Source organism: Homo sapiens, chromosome X (assembly GCF_000001405.40).
Source record: "Homo sapiens chromosome X, GRCh38.p14 Primary Assembly".
NCBI classification, from domain to species: Eukaryota; Metazoa; Chordata; class Mammalia; order Primates; family Hominidae; genus Homo; species Homo sapiens.
The window spans coordinates 85,072,711-85,096,127 of NC_000023.11; the positions used below are offsets into that span (position 1 = coordinate 85,072,711).

The 23,417-nt window shown below is 37.2% G+C and overlaps 2 protein-coding genes across 6 annotated transcripts in view; one reads left to right on the forward strand and one right to left on the reverse strand.

The window, feature by feature from the left end:
• The window catches only part of APOOL (apolipoprotein O like), an 89,439-nt gene extending 68,834 nt beyond the window's left edge, over positions 1–20,605 (forward strand). The window contains exons 7-9 of one of the 2 annotated variants that reach the window (XM_017029272.2): positions 1,288–1,401; positions 1,564–1,690; positions 14,880–20,605. In XM_017029272.2, the coding sequence (XP_016884761.1) occupies positions 1,288–1,401; positions 1,564–1,690; positions 14,880–14,968 (330 nt within the window). In that variant the 3' untranslated portion in view covers positions 14,969–20,605. The remainder of the gene's footprint in view (positions 1–1,287; positions 1,402–1,563; positions 1,691–14,879) is intronic. The other variant, NM_198450.6, reaches the window with a different exon arrangement.
• SATL1 (spermidine/spermine N1-acetyl transferase like 1) overlaps positions 19,574–23,417 on the reverse strand; it is a 151,496-nt gene continuing 147,652 nt past the window's right edge. The window contains exons 5-8 of one of the 4 annotated variants that reach the window (NM_001367857.2): positions 22,206–22,286; positions 21,418–21,519; positions 20,475–20,515; positions 19,574–19,851 (exon numbers count right to left, since the gene is read on the reverse strand). In NM_001367857.2, the coding sequence (NP_001354786.1) occupies positions 19,681–19,851; positions 20,475–20,515; positions 21,418–21,519; positions 22,206–22,286 (395 nt within the window). In that variant the 3' untranslated portion in view covers positions 19,574–19,680. The remainder of the gene's footprint in view (positions 19,852–20,474; positions 20,516–21,417; positions 21,520–22,205; positions 22,287–23,417) is intronic. The other 3 variants (NM_001367858.2, XM_047442081.1, NM_001012980.2) reach the window with 3 other exon arrangements.

Here is a 23,417-nt window from a genome sequence, read left to right on the forward strand (position 1 = left end):
AGATCTACGGTATATAAAGTAATATAGAACCGTGCCTTTGAAATACTGTCAAGCTTTTAAAAAAATCATATCTCAGAATAATATGTGTACTGTGATCTCAAGTATTTGAAAAGGAAAACAAACTAAATACATATGTAATTTATTTTAAAATTTAATTGAAAACATAATTGAGATTGTATTGTATAATCTATTCTGTAACTTTTTCAAATTAGTGGTTCATCATGGACTTCCATTCATGCCAGTACATATAGATCTACTTCATCTTTTTTGAAAGATCTGTAAATATTAATATTACATTTGTTTTAAAATTTGTGTATATATAATGTATAGATGAGTAAAAATTGAGGAAGGATATATGTATAACTGTTAACAAAGGTTATATTTGGGGAGGAAGAGGAATTTCTTTATATTAGTATATTACTTAACTTTTCAACTGTAGGTATATACTTAGTAAAAACAATAAAAATATTTCTATTTGAGGATGGAAACATAATTTTTAAAAAATTTATGTTTGTAGAAATTATAATCCTGAAAAATACCTCAAAACATCTTCAAAACTTGAAAAATCAATGGCTGTTGAAATTACTTTAACTAAAATGAACAAAAGCATTGGAGAAGAATAGGAAAAAGAAGAAATCAGAAGTAGATTTTCAAAGAGAAATAGAGATGAATGAAAATAACGGTAACTTTAGGAATTCAGCCAGCATCCTGGCCTCTGCTTGAGTATATTTATCAGTCATTGTTTATTTTACCTTTCTACCAAAAAAGAATATTATTCTTTGGAGGAATTAGTTGATGCCTTTTATTTCTTTATGAATGGAGAAAGCACCATCAAATTTTAAGCAAAAGCATTAACTTTGTAGCATGTTAAAAATCTCATTTTCTCAGTCAGCAGTTTATTATCTCAAACTATATTCCCCAAACTCCTGTTAATAGACACAGTTTTCACTTATATCAAATCACCGTGTTATATACCTTAAATAGATACAATTTTATATATGTCAATCTAATCTCACTAAAGCTGAAAAAAATTAAAAAAATAGACATAGTTTTAAATTTATGTTACAATGTGAATGCAGATTATACATTTCTTATAACCTTTGCATGACACAAAAAATTTTTCATATAAGATTTTAGAAATGGTGCTTTGTGTTATATGATTTAGAGATTTATATCTTTATTGATTCTGACTTGAGTGTTCATATAAAATACCTGACAAATCTAAAATACATTTTTAATTTTAACTTTTAAAAATATGTTATTTGACTTACTTTTTGTTTTAATTAGGTAACAGCAAAAAAGGTATATGCTACAAGCCAGCAAATTTTTGGAGCAGTTAAATCATTGTGGACAAAAAGCAGCAAAGAAGAGTCACTCCCTAAACCTAAAGAAAAAACTAAGGTAGAGTTTACATGGAGCAAGACGGTCAACATTGAGTTTTGTTTGGGTGGGTGTTGGCTTGTAATGAGGGTACTGGACAGAGGTCGAGGATAAAATGAGAAAGTAGATGAAGGAAATAGTAAAATGATTTACTTATGAAGGAAAAATCTGTTTGGTAAACAGCTAGGATCCTCTTCCGAAATAGAAGTACCTGCAAAAACAACTCACGTCTTGAAACACTCAGTGCCCTTGCCAACAGAACTCAGCTCTGAAGCAAAGACCAAATCAGAATCCACTTCAGGTTTGTTGGGTATAAGTCAATTTTGTTTTCATTCTTTTCTTAAATAATTTGATAGCATTATCATTAGTGGTTTGAACTTAAGATGTGTTCTCCCCATAAATATTTTGTCTTTCTCATATCTGTGGTTTCTGTTTCTTTTTAGGTTATGAGGTACTTAAGTATCTGCAATTGCTTTAAATTATCACATAGTTCATAATATAGATCTTTTAATGTGAGTATATAGAGTAACACTGACAGGTTGATTAGGTGAAGCATTTAATATAACTTTATAAATTTGAGCTATTAGGTGGGGGAAAATGGGCCTTTCTAGATTCTGTAATTTTAAAGGGATGAGTCACACCTACATAAAGAAATGTCAGCTTCCATTTTTTGTGCTATTTACCTATCAGTCTCCCTGTCAATCTTAAGACTTTTATTTTTATTAAGTTTAGTTTTACTAAGTTTAGGCACCAAAAGAACTTTCAGCATCAAATATTAGAAATATTATCCATTATAATACTTATAACATTGCTAGTATTCCATACTGGCAATAAACACTTTGTGGGACCAAGCAGTGACAATTATACTTTCTAAACAAATACTGCTGTGATTTTACTGTGATCAAAAAGAAGGTGACAAAGTGTTTAATACCATTTTGACAATGTATTCATATTGATTTGCATAGGTTTATCTATATAGATACCTATATAGATATCTATATAATTACAATGTGAATTATAAAACCCGCTAAGTTGTCTTATTGCAAAGGAAGGTGGCTAATTCAGCGGTTGGGGAATAATAATAATATGCACCCTTTATCGAGCACATACTGTGATGCAGAGAGCTAGAAGTATATTATGTTATTCAGCCCTTACCCACAAAGCAAAACAAAAACCTCTGCTGGATCGGTAATTATTCCCATTTTATGATGAAGAGACTGAGACTCAGGGAGCTAAAATAAGTTGCCCCAAATCATATAGCTTGTGAGTAGCAGAGTTCTGTTTATGGCCTAGATCTTCTTGACATCAAAGTCTAAGTTCTTTCCATTGTCTATAGATTATCTAATTTAAAACTGGAAGTTAGTCTCTAATTTCAGCCTCCTCCTCTCACTTAATCTTCATAAAAACTGTCATTGAATAACAAACATGATATGAGTTTTACTATTTTCCTCTGTCCTCTCTCTTTTCTAATCAAGAGGAGCTATACAGTTTTTAGACTCTGAATAATCTACCAGTGACCATATTCTCACAAGAATATAATGTATGGTCATTTTTCCACATGCCTTTTAATTCCAGAGTATCTTTATGAAGATGAAACATACTACAGCTTAACAGTGGGACCAAAACCTTTCCAAGCTAATGTCTTTTCCTCACACATCTAGATTCTGGAACCCTTTATTTGCCTGTCTTGGGTGATGTGGTATATGAAAAGCATTCTATGGAGACAATGCAGAGGGAGAAAGAGATGCCAGTGCTACTTACTCATTCTTATCATAGATGTCTTGGTCAGTTTGAGCTGCTGTAAAAAATACCATAGACTGGGTGGCTTATAAACAACAGAAATTTATTTCTCACAGTTCTAGAGACTGAAATTCTGAGATCAGGGTGCCAACATGGTCAGGTTCTGGTGAAGACCCTCTTCTGGCTTGTAGACAGCCTACTTCTCATTGTATTCTCACATGGCAGAGAAGAGAGGGAAGCAGGCTCTCTCAAGATTCATAAGGGCACTACTGATCCCATTCACAAAGGCTGTACCCTCATCACTTCCTCTAATTCTAACCACTTCCTAAAGCTCTCCATCTCCTAATACCATCACAATGGGGGAGATAGGGTCTCAACATGTGAATTTTGGGGGGACACCAACACGCAGTACATAACAATATATCATTTGGCGTTTATTATACAGTATAACCTTGGGATTCACCATTTCCACGTTTCATATGTAGAATAAAACATTTTTTTTTTTTTGGCCATGAGAAACAGTAGTGATTGTGAGCACAGGTTATAGAATAAGACTTGAATCGAAATCCCAGATCCAGCATTTACTAGTTCTGTTACCTGGGGCAAGTTATCAAACACCTCAAGCCTCAGTCTCCTCATTCAACAAAAAGGGGACAATAATAGTTCTCACATGGTTGTGAGGATTAAGTGAGATATTGCATGTAAAGCACTAACTGTAATGCCAGGGACATACTAAGGGGTATCAGTGGATATTAAAATATATCATTATTATTATTTGCCTAGAGCAGTTAGCCATTTTGATGAGAAACAGATTTTCATTGAGCATACTTAAAGAGCAAGTCACTTACCTAGTGAGCCTAGCCATGGCTATAACTTATCACCATACAGAACAGGTAGGGTGTACTGTCCAACTATATGTTGTGGCTCTGAATATGAGTTTGGTTGTTCTCTACCATCTCATGTACATTAATGGAGAAAATTGCTATTTTGGGAATCACAAATTTAGAATTTGGTGTCATAGACCTCTTCAAGAATCTGATGAAAGCAGAATGAAATCTCTCACAGTCTTGCAAGATTAATGTCCCTCTAAAGCAGAAGTTGACAAACTATGGCCTGTATGCCAACTCTGACTATGTTTTTTTTTAGGTGATAAATTTGCTAAACTTATATATATATATATATATATACGTATATATATGTATGTATATATATACGTATATGTATATACACGTATATATATATATACATATATATATATATATACACACACATATATATATATTTTTTTAATTATACTTTAAGTTCTAGGGTACATGTGCACAACATGCAGGTTTGTTACATAGGTATACATGTGCCATTGTTGGTTTGCTGCACCCATTAACTCATCATTTACGTGAGGTATTTCTCCTAATGCTATCCCTCCTCCTGCCCCCCACCCCACAACAGGCCCCTGTGTATGATGTTCCCCACCCTGTGTACAAGTGTTCTCATTGTTCAATTCCCACCTATGAGTGAGGATATACGGTGTTTGGTTTTCTGTCCTTTTGATAGTCTGCTCAGAATGATGGTTTCCAGCTTCATCCATGTCCCTGCAAAGGACATGAACTCATCCTTTTTTATGGCTGCATAGTATTCCATGGTGTATATGTGCCACATTTTCTTAATCCAGTCTATCATTGATGGACATTTGGGTTGGTTCCATGTTTTTGCTATTGTGAATAGTGCCACAATAAACATATGTGTACATGTGTGTTTATAGTAGCATGATTTATAATCCTTTGGGTATATACCCAGTAATGGGATGGCTGGGTCAAATGGTATTTCTAGCTCTAGATCCTTGAGGAATCGCCACACTCTCTTCCAGAATGGTTGAACTAATTTACACTCCCACCAACAGTGTAAAAGCATTCCTATTTCTCCACATCCTCTCCAGCATCTGTTTTTTCTTGACTTTTTAATGATCACCATTCTAACTGGTGTGAGATGGTATCTCATTGTGGTTTTGATTTGCAGTGATGATGAGCATTTTTTCATGTGTCTGTTGACTGCATAAATGTCTTCTTTTGAGAAGTGTCTGTTCATATCCTTTACCCACTTTTTGATGGGGTTGTTTTTTTCTTGTAAATTTGTTTAAGTTCTTTGTAGATTCTGGATATTAACCCTTTGTCAGATGGGTAGATTGCAAAAATTTTCTCCCATTCTGTAGGTTGCCTGTTCACTCTGATGGTAGTTTCTTTTGCTGTGAAGAAGCTCTTTAGTTTAATTAGATCCCATTTGTCAATTTTGGCTTTTGTTGCCATTGCTTTTGGTGTTTTAGTCATGAAGTCCTTGCCCATGCCTATGTCCTGAATGGTATTGCCTAAGTTTTATTCTAGGGTTTTTATGGTTTTAAGTCTAACATTTAAGTCTTTAATCCATCTTGAATTAATTTTTGTATAAGGTGTAAGGAAGGGATCCAGTTTCAGCTTTCTACATATGACTAGCCAGTTTTCCCAGCACCATTTATTAAATAGGGAATCCTTTCCCCATTTCTTGTTTTTGTCAGGTTTGTCAAAGATCAGATGGTTGTAGATGTGTGGTGTTACTTCTGAGGTGTCTGTTCTGTTCCATTGGTCTATCTCTCTGTTTTGGTACCAGTACCATGCTGTTTTGGTTAGTGTAGCCTTGTAGTATAGTTTGAAGTCAGGTAGCGTGATGCCTCCAGCTTTGTTCTTTTGGCTTAGGATTGACTTGGCGATGCGGGCTCTTTTTTGGTTCCATATGAACTTTAAAGTAGTTTTTTTCCAATTCTGTGAAGAAAGTCATTGGTAGCTTGATGGGGATGGCATTGAATCTATAAATTACCTTGGGCAGTATGGCCATTTTCACAATATTGATTGTTCCTATCCATGATCATGGACTGTTCTTCCATTTATTTGTGTCCTCTTTTATTTTGTTGAGCAGTGGTTTATAGTTCTGTTGAAGAGGTCCTTCACATCCCTTGTAAGTTGAATTCCTAGGTATTTTATTCTCTTTGTAGCAATTGTGAATGGGAATTCACTCATGATTTGGCTCTCTGTTTGTCTGTTAATGGTGTATAAGAATGCTTGTGATTTTTGCACATTGATTTTGTATCCTGAGACTTTGCTGAAATTGCTTCTCAGCTTAAGGAGATTTTGGGCCGAGACGATGGGGTTTTCTAAATATACAATCATGTCATCTGCAAACAGGGACAATTTGACTTCCTCTTTTCCTAATTGAATACCCTTTATTTCTTTCTCTTGCCTGATTGCCCTGGCCAGAACTTCCAACACCATGTTGAATGGGAGTGGTGAGAGAGGGCACCCCTGTCTTGTGCCTGTTTTCAAAGGGAATGCTTCCAGTTTTTGCCCATTCAGTATGACACTGGCTGTGGGTTTGTCATAAATAGCTTTTATTATATTTAGATATGTTCCATCAATGTCTAGTTTATTGAGAGTTTTTAACAGGAAGGGCAGTTGAATTTTGTCGAAGGGTTTTCTGCATCTATTGAGATAATCATGTGGTTTTTGTCGTTGGTTCTGTTTATATGCTGGATTACATTTATTGATTTGTGTATGTTGAACCAGCCTTGCATCCCAGGGAGGAAGCCGACTTAATTGTGGTGGATAAGCTTTTTGATGTGCTTGTTGATTCGGTTTGCCAGTATTTTATTGAGGATTTTCACATCGATGTTCATCAGGAATATTGGTCTAAAATTCTCTTTTTTTGTTGTGTCTCTGCCAGGGTTTGGTATCAGGATGATGCTGGCCTCAGAAAATGAGTTAGTGAGAATTCCCTCTTTTTCTATTGATTGGAATAGTTTCAGAAGGAATGGTACCAGCTCCTCTTTGTATCTCTGGTAGATTTCGGCTGTGAAACTGTCTGGTCCTGTACTTTTTTTGGTTGGTAGGCTATTAATTATTGCCTCAATTTCAGAGCCTGTTATTGGTCTCTTCAGAGATTCAGCTTCTTCCTGGTTTAGTCTTGGGAGGGTGTATGTGTCCAGGAATTTATCCATTTCTTCTAGATTTTCTAGTTTATTTGCGTAGAGGTGTTCATAGTATTCTCTGATGGTAGTTTGTATTTCTGTGGGATTGGTGGTGATATCCCCTTTATCATTTTTTATTGCATCTATTTGATTCTTCTCTCTTTTCTTCTTTATTAGTCTTGCCAGCAGTCTATCAATTTTGTTGATCTTTTCAAATAATCAGCTCCTGGATTCATTGATTTTTTGAAGGGTTTTTTGTGTCTCTATCTTTTTCAGTTTTGCTCTGATCTTAGTTATTTCTTGCCTTCTGCTAGCTTTTGAATGTGTTTGCTCTTGCTTCTCTAGTTCTTTTAATTGTGATGTTAGGGTGTCAATTTTAGATCTTTCCTGCTTTCTCTTGTGGGCATTTAGTGCTATAAATTTCCTTCTACACACTGCTTTAAATGTGTCCCAGAGATTCTGGTACGTTGTGTCTTTGTTTTCGTTGGTTTGAAAGAACATCTTTATTTCTGCCTTCATTTCGTTATGTACCCAGTAGTCATTCAGGAGCAGGTTATTCAGTTTCCATGTAGTTGTGCGGTTTTGAGTGAGTTTCTTAATCCTGAGTTCTAATTTGATTGCACTGTGGTCTGAGAGACAGTTTGTTGTGATTTCTGTTCTTTTACATTTGCTGAGGAGTGCTTTACTTCCAACTCTGTGGTCAATTTTGGAATAAGTATAATGTGGTGCTGAGAAGAATGTATATTCTGTTGATTTGGGGTGGAGAGTTCTGTAGATGTCTATTAGATCTGCTTGGTGCAGAGCTGAGTTCAAGTCCTGGATATCCTTGTTAACCTTCTGTGTCATTGATCTGTCTAATATTGACAGTGGGGTGTTAAAGTCTCCCATTATTATTGTGTGGGAGTCTAAAGTCTCTTTGTAGGTCATTAAGGACTTGCTTTATGAATCTGGGTGCTCCTGTATTGGGTGCATATATATTTAGGATAGTTAGCACTTCTTGTTGAATTGTTCCCTTTACCATTATGTAATGGCCTTCTTTGTCTCTTTTGATGTTTGTTGGTTAAAAGTCTGTTTTATTGGAGACTAGGATTGCAACCCCTGCTTTTTTTTGCTTTCCATCTGCTTGTTAGATCTTCCACCTTCCCTTTATTTTGAGCCTATGTGTGTCTCTGCATGTGAGATCAGTCTCCTGAATCCAGCACACTGATGGGTCTTGACTCTTTATCCAATTTGCCAGTCTGTGTCTTTTAATTGGGGCATTTAGCCCATTTACATTTAAGGTTAATATTGTTATGTGTGAATTTGATCCTGTCGTTATGATGTTAGCTGGTTATTTTGCCCATTAGTTGATGCAGTTTTTTCCTAGCATCGATGGTCTTTACAATTTGGCATGTTTTTGCAGTGGTACCGGTTGTTCCTTTCCATGTTTAGTGCTTCCTTCAGGAGCTCTTTTAAGACAGGCCTGATGTTGACAAAATCTCTCAGCATTTGCTTGTTTGTAAAGGATTTTATTTCTCCTTCACTTATAAAGCTTAGTTTGGCTGGATATGAAATTCTGGGTTGGAAATTCTTTTCTTTAAGAATGTTGAATATCGGCCCCCACTCTCTTCTGGCTTGTAGAGTTTCTGCTGAGAAATCCGCTGTTAGTCTGATAGGCTTCCCTTTGTGGGTAACCTGACCTTTCTCTCTGGCTGCCCTTAACATTTTTTCCTTCATTTCAACTTAGGTGAATCTGACAGTTATGTGTCTTGGGGTTGCTATTCTCGATTAGTATCTTTGTGGTGTTCTCTGTATTTCCTGAATTTGAATGTTGGCCTGCCTTGCTAGGTTGGGGAAGTTCTCCTAGATAATATCCTGCAGAGTGTTTTCCAACTTGGTTCCATTCTCCCCGTCACTTTCAGGTACACCCATCAAACGTAGATTTGGTCTTTTCTCATAGTCCCATATTTCTTGGAGGCTTTCTTCATTTCTTTTTACTCTTTTGTCTCTAAACTTCTCTTCTCACTTTATTTCATTAATTTTTCATTAATTCAGTCACTGATACCCTTTCTTCACTTGATCAAATCAACTGTTGAAGCTTGTGCATGAGTCATGTAGCTCTCGTGCCATGATTTTCAGCTCCATCAGGTCATTTAAGGTCTTCTCTACACTGTTCTAGTTAGCCATTCATCTAATCTGTTTTCAAGGTTTTTAACTTCCTTGCGGTGGGTTCGAACATTCTCCTTTAGCTTGGAGAAGTTTGTTATTACCGACCTTCTGAAGCCTACTTCTGTCAGTTCGTCAAAGTCATTCTCCATCCAGCTTTGTTCCATTGATGGCGAGGAGCTGTGATCCTTTGGAGGAGAAGAGGTGCTCTGGTTTTTAGAATTTTCAGATTTTCTACTCTGGTTTCTCCCCATCTTTGTGGTTTTATCTACCTTTGGTCTTTGATGCTGGTGATCTAGAGATGGGGTTTTGGTGTGGATGTCGTTTTTGTTGATGTTGATGCTATTCCTTTCTGTTTGTTAGTTTTCCTTCTAACACTCAGGACCCTCAGCTGCAGGTATGTTGGAATTTGCTAAAGGTCCACTCCAGACCGTGTTTGCTTGGGTATACCGAGCGGAGGCTGCAGAACAGCAAATATTGCAGAACAGAAAATATTGCTGCCTGATCCTTCTTCTGGAAGCTTTGTCCCAGAGGGGCACCCACATGTATGAGGTGTCCTGACTCACTATTTTTGTATATTCTGCAAGCTAACAGTGACGGTTGAAAAAAAATCAAAGGGATAATATTTCATAGCAAGTGAAAATGACATGAAATTCAGATCTCAATGTCCAGAAATAATGTTTTATTAGAACATACCCACACACATTGATCTATGTATTGTCTACGGCTGCTTTTAAACTACAATGGCAGAGTCGAGCACTTGTGACAGAGACCATATGGTTCACCAAGTCAAAAATATTTACTACTGACCTTTTGCAGAAAAGTTTGCCAATTCCTCTTCTAGAGAGAGGGCATGTGCCACATATGCATGATTCATGTCCCCCTCATGGTAGTTGCCAGATTTTTTGTGGATTCGGAGACTAAATAGCCAAACTCAAAACCTCTTAAGGGCAAAATCGAATTTCCTACAGTTTTTTGGTGCTGTGGAGAGAGAAACTAGTCAGTCTGTCAGTCAGAAGCTTGGGAGTGCCATAGGTGAACTGGGAGGAACCAGAGGTTAACTGACTCTTACTAAAATTAGAACGCAGCCCAGACCCAGCTCAATGCCTGACTAGATTGAGATGATAAGTGTTTCACCCTTTGTAAAGAGAGCAAGGGCACCCCTGTCTGGTGCCCTTTATCTTCTGGAGCTTCTACCTTTCTTTTATACATAATGTCCAGTATACAAACAAACAAAATACTAGTTATGCAAAAAGGCAGGAAGATGTGACTGACAGTCAAAAGAAAAAATACATAAATATAACAATAACAGCAGACCCACAGATGACCTAAATATTGAAGTTAACTGAAAAGGACTTTACAATAACTATAATTAATATATTAAATAGAAAAAAAGATGGACAAAATGGATGAAAAGATGGAGAATGTCACAGGGACTTGGACTCTGTTAAAAAATTCTAGTGGATATTCTAGAAGTGAAAAATACAGTACCCGAAATTAAGAACTCATTGTATGGGTTTAACAGCAGACTATTTACCAGAAAGCACAGAATTAATGAATTCAAAGACAAGTCAATAAAAAATAGCCAAACTGAAGCACACAGAGAAAAAAGGAATGGAAAAGTTTGAGAAAGTACTTTATAGTGACTAGTGTCTTTAAGTATTTGAGTTGCTAAGAAGCTGAATGCTGAATGTCATCCTGATTTTATATACAAGAAACCAAAAGAAAATTTGTAACAATCCTAACTTCACTCAGCAATTTATTAGTTATCTGTCCTTTTTTTTGTAACTAACTTGCTTAAAATATCAATGAGATAACATGTGAACTAAATTATCAGTTATGTGATATTATCAGATATCACATAAGGGCTATTTGAGACTATAATTCATTGCTGTCTTATAACTTTAAACATATTTCTTTCCTATTTGTAATAACACCAACTTTTTGAATAGTCTGCTAAAAAGCTTTAAGCAGAAAATGTTCTTATTAGAGAGCAAACGTATAAAATTGCAAAGGAATGCATCATGATGATTAGGGCATTCAGATTCAAGAAGAGTTTTATGACAGCTTATTCTTTGGGAGTGTAAGAGAGCCCTTAATCCATTCAAGAGATGAAGAAATTTCTTAGAAAGATATAATTCTTAGTTGCTTATAAGAGCATGAGATGAAGCTTTTTTTTTTTTTTTTTTTGAGATGGAGTCTCGCTCTGTCACCCAGGCTGGAGTGCAGTGGTGCGATCTTGGCTCACTGTAACCTCTGCCTCCCGGGTTCAAGCGATTCTCCTGTCTCAGCCTCCCAAGTAACTGAGACTACAGGCACCTGCCACCAAACCCAGCTAATTTTTTGTATTTTTGGTAGAGACGGGCTTTCACTGTGTTAGCCAGGATGGTCTTGATCTCCTAACCTTGTGATCCTCCCACCTCGGCCTCCCAAAGTGCTGGGATTACATGCTTGAGCTACCACGCCTGGCCTTTGAGATGAAGCTTTTCAAAAAGATGAATCAAATGACAGGCTAAGTGGTTCTAAACCAGAGAGATCCATATCACAATTACTTGAGGGTTTTTTTTTTTCTCAAAATCCATAGGTCCAGACTCTACCAAGAATTATAAATCTGAATCTCCAGAGCTGAGGCCTCTAAGCAGGTGGATTTTAGGAAGAGCTTTACAGGGGATTCTGATACATATTACTCTTGCTAATAATCTCTGTTTTAAGTTGTGAATAAATTAAAATCTTGAAGACTTTTAAGAAATTTTGAGGGGTGATCTAAAGGCAAAAGATTCTTTCTAATTCAGGAAATTGGGGTAAGCTGAATCTTTCACCAAACTTTGAACAAGAATATAAATTAAGGAAGTATTTAGAAGTGCTAGAGAACTTAGTCAGTTGATGGACATTGTTAAGCAAATTTGACACACTGAGATTTACGTAAAATAATTATTTGTCACATGCCTACTATATAGTGTTTTCTGCTTGATAAAACTTGTTGCACACTTTTCACTTGTACTGAGCAATGGTTCCCACCAGATGGCAGTAGAGATACAGCAGAACCACCAGTGGATTCCTAACCATTTTTTGTGCTACAGCCTCTTCTCAGAATAATGTTTTCAAATGCAGAAAATAAAATACATAGTAATGTATGAACTTCCTTAAGTGTATTAAACAACAATATCTAACAATAGGTCTAATAACTTTTAATTTTTAAGTAGTGGCGAGTGTGAATATTTTGAGATAATCTGCAACTATAATGTAATAAGATATCTGTGATTTCTGTTGGTGACAAAGAAATCTAAGGTACTGCTGATACTACTGTGTTTTGTTGCCTGTATACATTATTGAAGACAATGTCCATTTAAGTCAGAGGTAAGTGAAAATAATGACAAATTTTCCTCATCCAAGTTAATAGATCACATGAGTTCTATAACATACCCCCAGAGACACGAAGTTAAGAATTTATTCTATGGAGAGCTGCATTACCTGTACCATCATGAATACTAATTACTTATGAATCTGGTTGTTTTGTTAATATATGTGGTGATGAAGTTACACATAGGTGTGTCACACTGTAAAATACGTTTCAGAAAAGATAGGTATAAGATAAATCATTGTATTCCAATTTCTCTCCTTTGTTTTCATTATAAAACTGGAAATTAAATTCTTTTATGCAGAAAAGGTATGGTTCCCAAATGTAATAAAATTAATTTTAAAATGAATCCGATTTTGAACATATTTAAAATAAAAACAAATTTCTGAAAAAATGTTTGTAGTATTATGTCACAAAGTAAATATAAAATAGTTGTCTCTTGCCTACTTACCATGCACAAGGTATTTATATGCATCAGTTTGTGTGCATTATCATGTTTAGTACTAAAACTAGTTGTATGAGATTTTTACTGCTATAAATATCATTTTAAAGAAGAGCCTGGGTTGTTATGTTGTGGTCAGACAAATGTGGATTCATTCCTGGCTCCACCACTTACCAGCTGAATGACTTTGGTCAAGTTAGTTAACCTCTCCAAATTAAAATTTTCTTATCTGTAAAATAAGGACAATGTAAAAATAGTATCTGCTTCATGGTGGGATTATGAGATAATGCATGAAAATAACTTAGCTACTTGCTGGGGACACAGGAAGCTTGTCAAGATCACCAGTGATCCACACATTGCCAAATCCAGGAGTTGATTCTCAATCTCCATCTTATGCAATCCATCAGTAACCTTTGACACAGGTTAAATTCCTTCCTCCTTCAATCTCTTCACTTGGCCTGTGGGATATCTCTTGCTCTTGGTTCTCTTACCTCATTCACTGGCTTTCCACCTTAATCTTCTTTCCTACATTCTCCTAACCCTCTTAACATCTTCTAATCTTAACCCAAAAGACTCATTTGTACTCAGATGTTTAGTAAGCAATTCAAATTTAACACATCCAACACTTAATGATTCGTTTGTTTTCCCCTAAACCTGCTTCTCCCACATTTTCCCCTATCTCAATAAATGTCACCTCCATTCTTCCAGTTTCTCAAGTTGAAGAGTCTCTCTCACAAGACATAGTCAGTCCATTTAGGAAATCTTGTCTATTCTACCTTCAACATTATCCAGAATCTGGTACCTTTTCACCACTTCTACTTCCACCATCCTAACTAAAGCCCTCAGCATGTCTTCTGGAGTATTGTAATTGCTTTCTAACTGGTCTCCCTGCTTCTATCCCTTGTTTCCCTATAGTTTCTTTTCCCCATAGCCAAGAGTGATTTTTTTTTTTTTGAGACGGAGTCTCGCTGTGTCTCCCAGGTTGGAGTGCAGTGGCGCGATCTCGGCTCACTGCAAGCTCCGCTTCCCGGGTTCACGCCATTCTCCTGCCTCAGCCTCCCAAGTAGCTGGGACTACAGGCGCCCGCCAACACGCCCGGCTAATTTTTTGTATTTTTAGTAGAAACGGGGTTTCACCGTGTTAGCCAAGATGGTCTTGATCTCCTGACCTCGTGATCCGCCCGTCTCGGCCTCCCAAAGTGCTAGGATTACAGGCGTGAGCCACCGCGCCCGGCCGAGTGATCTTTTTAAAAACATAGCATCATTCACTCCTCTACTCAAAATTGTCCAGTAGCTTCTCATCTCACTTAAAGCCAAAATCTTTACCATGGCCCTGTGTGACCTAGCTTTCCATTGTCTTTTTGATCACATCTCCTATCATCTCACTGCCTTGCCGCCACCCCTACATACACCACATTTGTCTACTGTGTTTCAACCATATTGGTTCCTCAGACATACCTCAGGTCCATTACACTTGCCGTCTGCTCATCCTGGAAGGCATTGCCTGCTGGTATCTATAGGGTGCACACCCTCACCTCCTTCAGTTCTCGGCTCATGTATCACCTTTCCAGAAGGCTTTCCCTGGCTGCCCTATTTAAAATTACAAATCACCTAAGCACTCCATATATCCTTCCTTGTTTCATTTTTTCACATAGCACTTAACCACCATCTGATATATATTTAATTAGTTTGTCTGTCTCACCTAACTCAAATGTTAGGTCTGTGTCACTAGAGATTTTTATCTGGTTTGTTCGCTGCTGTCTTCCCAGTATCAAAAATAAATTTGTTAAGTGACTAATTTTTCTTTTCATTTTAATACTTTATCAGGTGCAACCCAGTTTATGCCTGACCCCAAGCTCATGGATCACGGGCAGTCCCACCCAGAAGATATAGATATGTACAGCACTAGAAGCTGAAGTAGACTGCATGCAGAGACTACACAGAAAACTACAAGATGTGTGGCGTTGCAAATAATGATGAAAATAAATCATGTAATGGGTAACTGATACATAGAGTATTACCTAAACCAAGTTTCTCCCTTACATTTCCAAATATGCCATTTGATAAATTACATAAGTGGTTAACACACAAACTGTGAATGCAGTGTAAACAATATTAAATGATTGATGAGGAGACTTAGGTAGAAGTATTAGCTTGCATTTGATGACCTTTAAGGGCACTTAAAAAAAAATGAAGACATGAATTCTAGTGAGATTAAAATCTAAAAATACATATATATATATGTATGTATAAATACATACATATTTATACATGTATAAATACGTATTTATACATATATGTATAAATACATATACATATATGTATAAATACATATACATATTTATACATATATGTATAAATACATACATATTTATACATATATGTATAAATACATACATATTTATACATATATGTATAAATACATACATATTTATACATATATATGTATAAATACATACATATTTATACATATAAACATATATTTCTGCTCTAGCTTTCCCAGATTAATGCTAGTTAAATTAGAATGGTGTATGGAAAGGTGTGTTTCCCTCTGTTTTTTTTTTTTTTTTTTTTTTTTTTTTTCCCATTTCCTAGAGCTGGAATAAAATATCCATGTTTTATGGGACTTGAGCTTGGCTTTGTCCCTTGGTTTTGTTAATGTTAATTCCTCTTAAATATCTAAAAACATCTCTACCTATTTGAGAGGGCCATATGCTACACAGGCTTCCTAATACTGCTTAGCAATCCTTCTACTGGTTCCTAAGTGGTTTACTATTGTGTTCCCTGGAAGAGGTATTACAAACGTTTTATTCTTCTCAAGCCTCTTAGAACTGTCAAAGTTGACTGTGCCTCCTATTTCATAGAGAAAAAACTAAATTATTAGATATGACCATTCCCAAAACTTCTTCCCATCTACCTTCAAGACTTACCTCTTTTCAGCCATGCATCCCCCTTTTCTAAGACATGCTTCTCTTTGTGTTCTTGACCTCATTCCTTCCCATCTAAGACCATATTCCACCCTGTTTAATTTCTAGTCTTCGGTTTCTCTTTTTACAGTGAGCAAATTAGAAGAATAGGTTAGAAGAATAGGGTAGTAGATACTGTAGTTTCTTTCCTCCACCTCTACATAGCTGCAGGTCTTCTCTGTCTTAAATCAACAATAACAAAACAAGACAAAAACCTTTCCTTAACTTGGCCTCTTCCCTTGAACTATTTTTTCTCTCTCCTTCCTATAATTGTTATACTTCTTTAAAAAGTAATTGTTACTTTTTGACAAAAGTAAATATTGTCCCTTTTTTCCCTACTTTCAAGTCCTCTCTGTCTTGTGACATTCTGGCCTCCATACCTGCTTAATTTTTTTTGAGATGGGGTCTTGCTCTGTTGCCCAGGCTGGAGTGCAGTGGCACAAACACAGCTCACTGCAACCTCCACCTCCCAGGATCAAGCAATCCTCCCATCTCACCCTCCCAAGTAGCTGGGACTATAGGCACCCGCCACCATGCCTAATTTTTTGTATTTTTGGTAGTGACAGGGTTTCACCATGTTGTCCAGGCTGGTCTCGAACTCCTGAGCTCAAGCATCTGTCCGACTCAGCCTACCACAGTGTTGGGATTACAGGCGTGAGCCACCGCACCCAGCCCCTACTTGAATTTTTATGTCATTATTGACTCTTCACCACTCTCTCCTTGAGACTCACTTATCCCTTTGCTCTCTATTTTTCCTGCTTTTGTTATTCTTCATTTTTCTTCTCTTGCTCTGAATCCCTTAAATGCTGAGGCTGCTCAAGTTTCATCCCTAGTCCTATTTTCTCATTCTATATGCACACTCATTTTTCATTTAACAGACTTCACTGGCTTCAGGCACCATTTGTTTTATTATTCATATTTTCAACCCCCATATCTCTCTAGTGCTGTAGACCTTTATTTCTACTTACTAGTTATATTCACCTAACATCCCATAGATATGCCAATGTCAATGTGCCTAAAACAAAATTGTCTCTACCTCCCGCTCCTTCAAATCTATTCTGTCTTCTCTAATCCTATAATTACTCTCCCTCAAGTCATCATCATCACTTTTCTGGGTTACTGTAATAGCCTTCAGGCTAATTTGCTCACTGTCAATCTTGCTGTCTCTCATTTCAGAATATGTTCTGCTTGCAGGTGACAGTAAACTAGTTAAACAAATATTTAATATTAGCTTAAGCAAAAAAAAAAAAAAAGGCCTATCCTATTTATAGCCTAGAATTAGGCAGTATAGGGTTGGGACAGTGGCTCATTGGTGCTATCAAGGACGTAGACTTTTTCTCTTTCCACTCTGTCCTCTACAGCATGCTGGTTTGTCACCTCATGGTCACAAGATGTCTGCTGTACCTCCAGGGAGCAGATACACATTCAAAGTAGGAAATAGCAGATAAAAATGTACACAAGATGCGTCTGACTCCCTTTTACCAGAAAAGTAAATGCTTTCTTAGAATCTCCTCAGAAGACCTCTGTGTATATCTCAACCAGTACTTGTCATATAGCCACACACTTAGCTCAAGGAAGATAGGGAATAGGGAAATCATGTTTCTTTTCCCCTGTGGTGAGGAAGGCAAGGGGTAAGGGGTTGGGAACAGGTGCTGAATTAAAGCTAACATACAGTATCTACTACCCTATTCTTCTAACCCATTTGTCTATTATGATATAGTTGTCTTGACAACTATAATGAATAGCTGTCTTTCTGAAATCTTTAGTGGCTCATCATTGCCTGCAGAATCAAAACTCCTTAGTCTGATATACAAGGCCCTTCATATCTGATTCCAGCTTACCTTCTAATCCTATCTTCCCTCTCCTTACCCACCCTACTGCTAATGTGTATTATATTGTCTTTATGACATACCATTTGTTTCTTGAACATGCTTTGCTCATTATTGCCTCTTTCTCTGCCTGTGCTAGTGTGTCCTCTTAGAATGTTCTTCCATCTTATCCTGCTCTACATTCTAACTTCTACCCATCCTACAAGTCCAATTCCAGTGTCATGTTCCCTTTCTCAATCCTCCAGGGTAGAATTTAGATGTTCTGTCTTTTAGAGATAGGTATTGCTATGTTGCCCAGGCTGGTCTCAAACTCATGGCCTCAAGCGATCCTCCCACCTCAGCCAACCAGACATGAGTGACTGTGCTCAGCCTTTTTTAAAAAAATGAAGGTATTTGGTATGGCCGGGTATGGTGGCTCACACCTATAATCCCAGCACTTTGGGAGGCCAAGGTGGGTGAATCACCTGAGGTCAGGAGTTTGAGACCAGCCTGACCAACATAGTGAAACCCTGTCTCTACTAAAAACACGCAAAAAGTGCAAAATTAGCTAGGCGTGGTGGCTCATGCCTGTAATTCCAGCTACTTGGGAGGCTGAGGCAGGAGAATCACTTGAATCCGGGAGGTGGAGGCTGCAGTGAGCCGAGATCGTGCCATTGCACTTCAGCCTGGGCACAAGAACAAAACTCAGTCTCAAAAAATAAATAATAAAAAATAAAGGTATATAATATGTCTTAGATTTGATGAAATATGAGTGTGTTTGAGATCTGATCCAAGGTTTTAAAAAATTCATTTCAAATCCTGGAGATAAATTCTGAGGAGCTTACTTATGAAAAACTAGCAAGTGATAGCTGGTATTTACAGATATGGTACTTTACACAATTTATGTAATTAATATTTTCTCACAGACAAGGTTCCTTGTGGATATCACTGAATAATTTTTGTGTAGTTTCTATGCCCATGAAGTGCCTGGTAGGTAGTAGGAACTCACACGTTCTGCTATGCTGGTTGCAGCACAGGACACAAAAGTTAGAATTATTTCAAAGGACTTATACTCTACTAGGAAAGAGAGAAACATAGAAATATAGTGTTGTATGTGGTATCTTCCCTAAGATAAGTACAACCAAAGAGCTATGGATGTTCAGAGATAGAATGTAGTACTGGGATGATGTCAAGGAGGCAGTGGTACTTAAGCTGCTCAAGGTAGGGAAGCAGTTTACTTGCTAGTTTTTCATAAGTAAGCTCTTCAGAATTTATCTCCAGTATTTGAAATGAATTTTTTTAAACCTCAGATCTGAATATATTCAAACACCCATATTTCATCAAATCTAAGGCATATCATATACCTTTAATTTAAAAAAAAATGCTGAGCAGAGTTGCTTATGTCTGGGAGGCTGAAGTGGGAGGATTGCTTGAGGCCAAAAGTTTGAGACCAGCCTGAGCAACATAGCAAGATCCTGCCTCTAAAAACAAACAAACAAAAAATGCTGCCAGTTGATCATTACATTTATCCCGACATCAGATATGTCAAATTGTGAAAAGCACCTTAATTTTGATGAAATATGATAGGTAAAAAATAGCGCAAAGCTAAGTATAAGTGACTTTTAAATTATCTGCTCTTTTGGATTATCACTACTGCTACTAGCCGTTAGAATATTGGTTTGGATAATGGAAAGTTGACTAGAGCTACAAAATCTGTTTCAAAATAAAAGATCTGCTCAAACAAGAATGTGATGATCACTTGCTGTATTGTACAACAAAGTCAAACTGCTGTTAGACTCAGGTGACAGTCAAATGTTGGAGGCTGTGTTGGGATGAGTTGTTACAAAGCCTCTTTCATTCTTCCCATGCCATGTCCAGGAGTTCTTCTCTGTTAAACCTGAAGAGATGCCAGCCCTCCTCAGAGGAAAGGTCTAAAGCCCCTCGACTAGTATAGTAGTTGATAGAAGCCTGGTTCCAAATGACGACAAGAAAGTGCATGCAGTTACATTGAGTTGTGATGGCTATCTGTTTAAAAACAAACAAGCAAATATTACTTTCATTTGAAAGTATAATCTTCGTTAACACATATATTTTATTGAAGGTCTACTCTATGCAAGACACTATGTGTGAATAATACTTCCAAATATAGTAGTTACCTTTTGAACTTTTCTATAGCTGTAAAAAGAAAAAAGTCTCACTGTTCTGAGCTTTAAAGCCCTCTTTAAAATCTCAAAACTGATTTGCAAAGCCTTTATCATACAGAAAAGGTGTACCTAAAAGAACACATGTTCTCATATGTTTCCAAAATACAAGAAGATCTTGCTTTTATAGTCTTGTAATATTCATACTGTGAGCCTGTGTTTTTGAATAAAAATGCTTTCTAATCTCCCTCCTTCTTACTTTCCCTTGATAGCAAAAAGGGTGTATAGTGTGGTTGTGGATTATATATAAATCAATTTTAATTGACTATAATTCATATACTGTATATGATCATCTGATTTGAAAATCCAGTTTAATTTGGGTAGAAATTTGAAGTATATGTTGGGGTTATGTTCAAATGGTGAGATTAATGATTTAATTTATGCCCTGTGAATATTTATTAAGAAAAGGTTAATGTATAGAATATCAATACTAATTGTAATACATACCTGACTTAGCCTCTTCAGCATTTCAGCTCCAATACCTAGGCCTTTTAAATAGACAATGCAAAGTGAAAACTGCAAATTTCACTTAACTTGTTATTTGCTTTAGTTTAAAATAAATAATATCTAAAACTCTGTATCTGTTTTTTGTATATTATTAATAGCTTCTGGAAACACAACTCGTGAATGCTTTCATATCCCTTTTTCCTAATTGGAATGACGTACCAAAGGTCATAGAAGAGTTTGGGTTTATTTTAAAGATCAGTGAAGAAGTGAGTCTCTGCCACTATTGTCTTATAACGGTATATTTCTTAGCTGTTTTTACTGAAAACCACCTAAAATGTGAAAGCATTTTTTAAAGATAAAAGTATAGCTGTGTGGCCTATACTCACACGATGGCTCACACATGTGATGGCACGATGGCTCACACCTGTAATCCCAGCACTTTGGGAGGCCAAGGCAGGAGGATCACTTGAGCCCAGGAGTTTGAGACCAGCCTGGGCAACACAGACCCTGTTTCTCCAAAAAATAAAGAATTAGCTGGGTGCTGTGGCACATGCCTGTAGCCCCAGCTACTTGGGAGGCTGAGGTGGGAGGATTGCTTGAGTGTAGGAGGTTGAGGTTACAATGAGTCGTGATCACACCACTGCATTCTAGCCTGGGTGACAGAAAACCCTGTCTCAAAAACAAAATAAAAAAATATATAGCCATGTGATAGCTTGGCTTATTCAAACCTTGAGAGGAACTAATAAAATGTTTTTCTAATCTGTGACTGAGTCTTCACAATCACAGATTAGATCAAACTCATTAGGATAGTGATCAAACTCATTAAGTAGCAATAAGTTACATTAACTAAAACACCGTATGTATAGTAAAGCCCTATCTCCTTAAAATATGTCACTTTAATTTTTAAAGTATTTAAAAGTAATATCATAAATTTTAGTTTTACCTTGGTAAGCTTGTGTGACATAAAAGTCCTCTAGGTAAAGTACCTTGCCAGTCCATGAGTCGTATGTAAAGTAGTACATGGCAAATCCAACAGTCAGTTTGCCTAGGAAGGGAGAAGAAAGGGTGTAGAAAGGTTGGTTGAATCTTAGCCAGTTCTTTACCCCCAAATTGAATGTCTTTTGGCGTTTGTTTAACTATTAAAGTAATAAATGCTCACTGGAAAAAAATAACAATACAAAAACATATAGTGTAGAGGACTTAAGTCCCTTAAAATACAACCTTTAAGATATAAGCCCTCCTTTTATAGTGTGGTGTACGATCTTCCAAAAAATTTTAGCTGGGCGCAGTGGCTCATGGCTGTAATCCCTGTGCTTTGGGAGGCCAAGGCGGGAGGGTCGCTTGAGCTCAGGAGTTTGAGACCAGTCTGGGCAACATAGTGACACCCTGTCTCTACAAAAAATAATTTTAAATTAGTTGGACATAGTGGCACATGTCTGTAGTCCCAGCTACTTGGGAGGCTGAGACACTTGAGCACAGGAGTTTAGTTGGAGGCTGCAGTGAGTCATGATCATGCCACTGCACTCCAGCCTGGGTGACAGAGCGAGACCCTGTCTCTTAATAATAATGTTTATACAAACATAAGTACATACCATGCATTTTCTTTAAAAAAACTGGGTTTATACACATTCTCTTCTGCTTAATAGTAATTATATGCTACAAAACTGTACTATTTTTCAGCATGGAAAAAATATACTCCAGATTGAACTGGAGAAGAAAGGTTTACTCTACCTGATGGTTTTTGTTGATCGTTTACTTCTGCAATCAGGCAGTAGAAAAGGGGATTGTCCCCAAAGCCATCTCTGAGTAAATCTGAAATATCAATTCATATATAGGATGTCAGAAAGTTTATAGCAGAGAGAAGGAGATGGTGGATAGGAAGCACTAGGAATTTCTCTCTCCACCTGGATAGCAATTGTATTGGCGGAAACTGAAGTGAATATTTTGGAACTCTGGAGTTTATCTGAACATTTGCAACTTACAGGAGACAGCCTGGCTGGTCAACTGCAGTTAATTTGGATCAAATTCAGCCATCAGTGAGGTGGCAGCTACCCAACACTCAGCACCCTCTACTCCATGGGAACAGCAACCTGTATTTCTGTAGCAGCTTGCTGGAGCAAGGGTGACCAATAAACCTCTTGTCCTCAAAATACTGAAGTTCTGTGTTTTGACTGTGTGTTGTTACTCTGATCACTGAGGTGACGACTTGGAGGTTAACTGCCATTGTTCCAACCCCCACGAGCTGAAGTGGCTTCCAGGAGATTTAAAGGAGCTGCCCTGTTTTGTGAGACATTTGGGAATTAAAAACATATATACAGGGGAATTTAGAAAGTTACCATGTGTGACTAGATAAAGATGGAGGCCGGGCGCGGTGGCTCACGCCTGTAATCCCAGCACTTTGGGAGGCCGAGGCGGGCGGATCACGAGGTCAGGAGATCGAGACCATCCCGGCTAAAACGGTGAAACCCCGTCTCTACTAAAAATACAAAAAATTAGCCGGGCGTAGTGGCGCGCGCCTGTAGTCCCAGCTACTTGGGAGGCTGAGGCAGGAGAATGGCGTGAACCCGGGAGGCGGAGCTTGCAGTGAGCCGAGATCCCGCCACTGCACTCCAGCCTGGGCGACAGAGCGAGACTCCGTCTCAAAAAAAAAAAAAAAAAAAAAAAAAAAAGATGGAGAGGGGACCTGAGAACACATTAAGCTTTCAACTCAGGCTGATCCCTGACACAGAGAACGCCCTGTAATGCTTTAAAACAAACTCCCATCAAATCCTGGGGAAAAAGGAGAATCTGATTTCCAGAGTTACCATAGTATAAGTTTCAAATGTCTAGCTTTCAACAAAAATCACAAGAAATGATGGTCATTCAAAGGAATAAAATACATTAACAAAAAACATAGCTGATGAAAGCCAGATGTTTGACTTACTAAACAACTTAAAACATCTG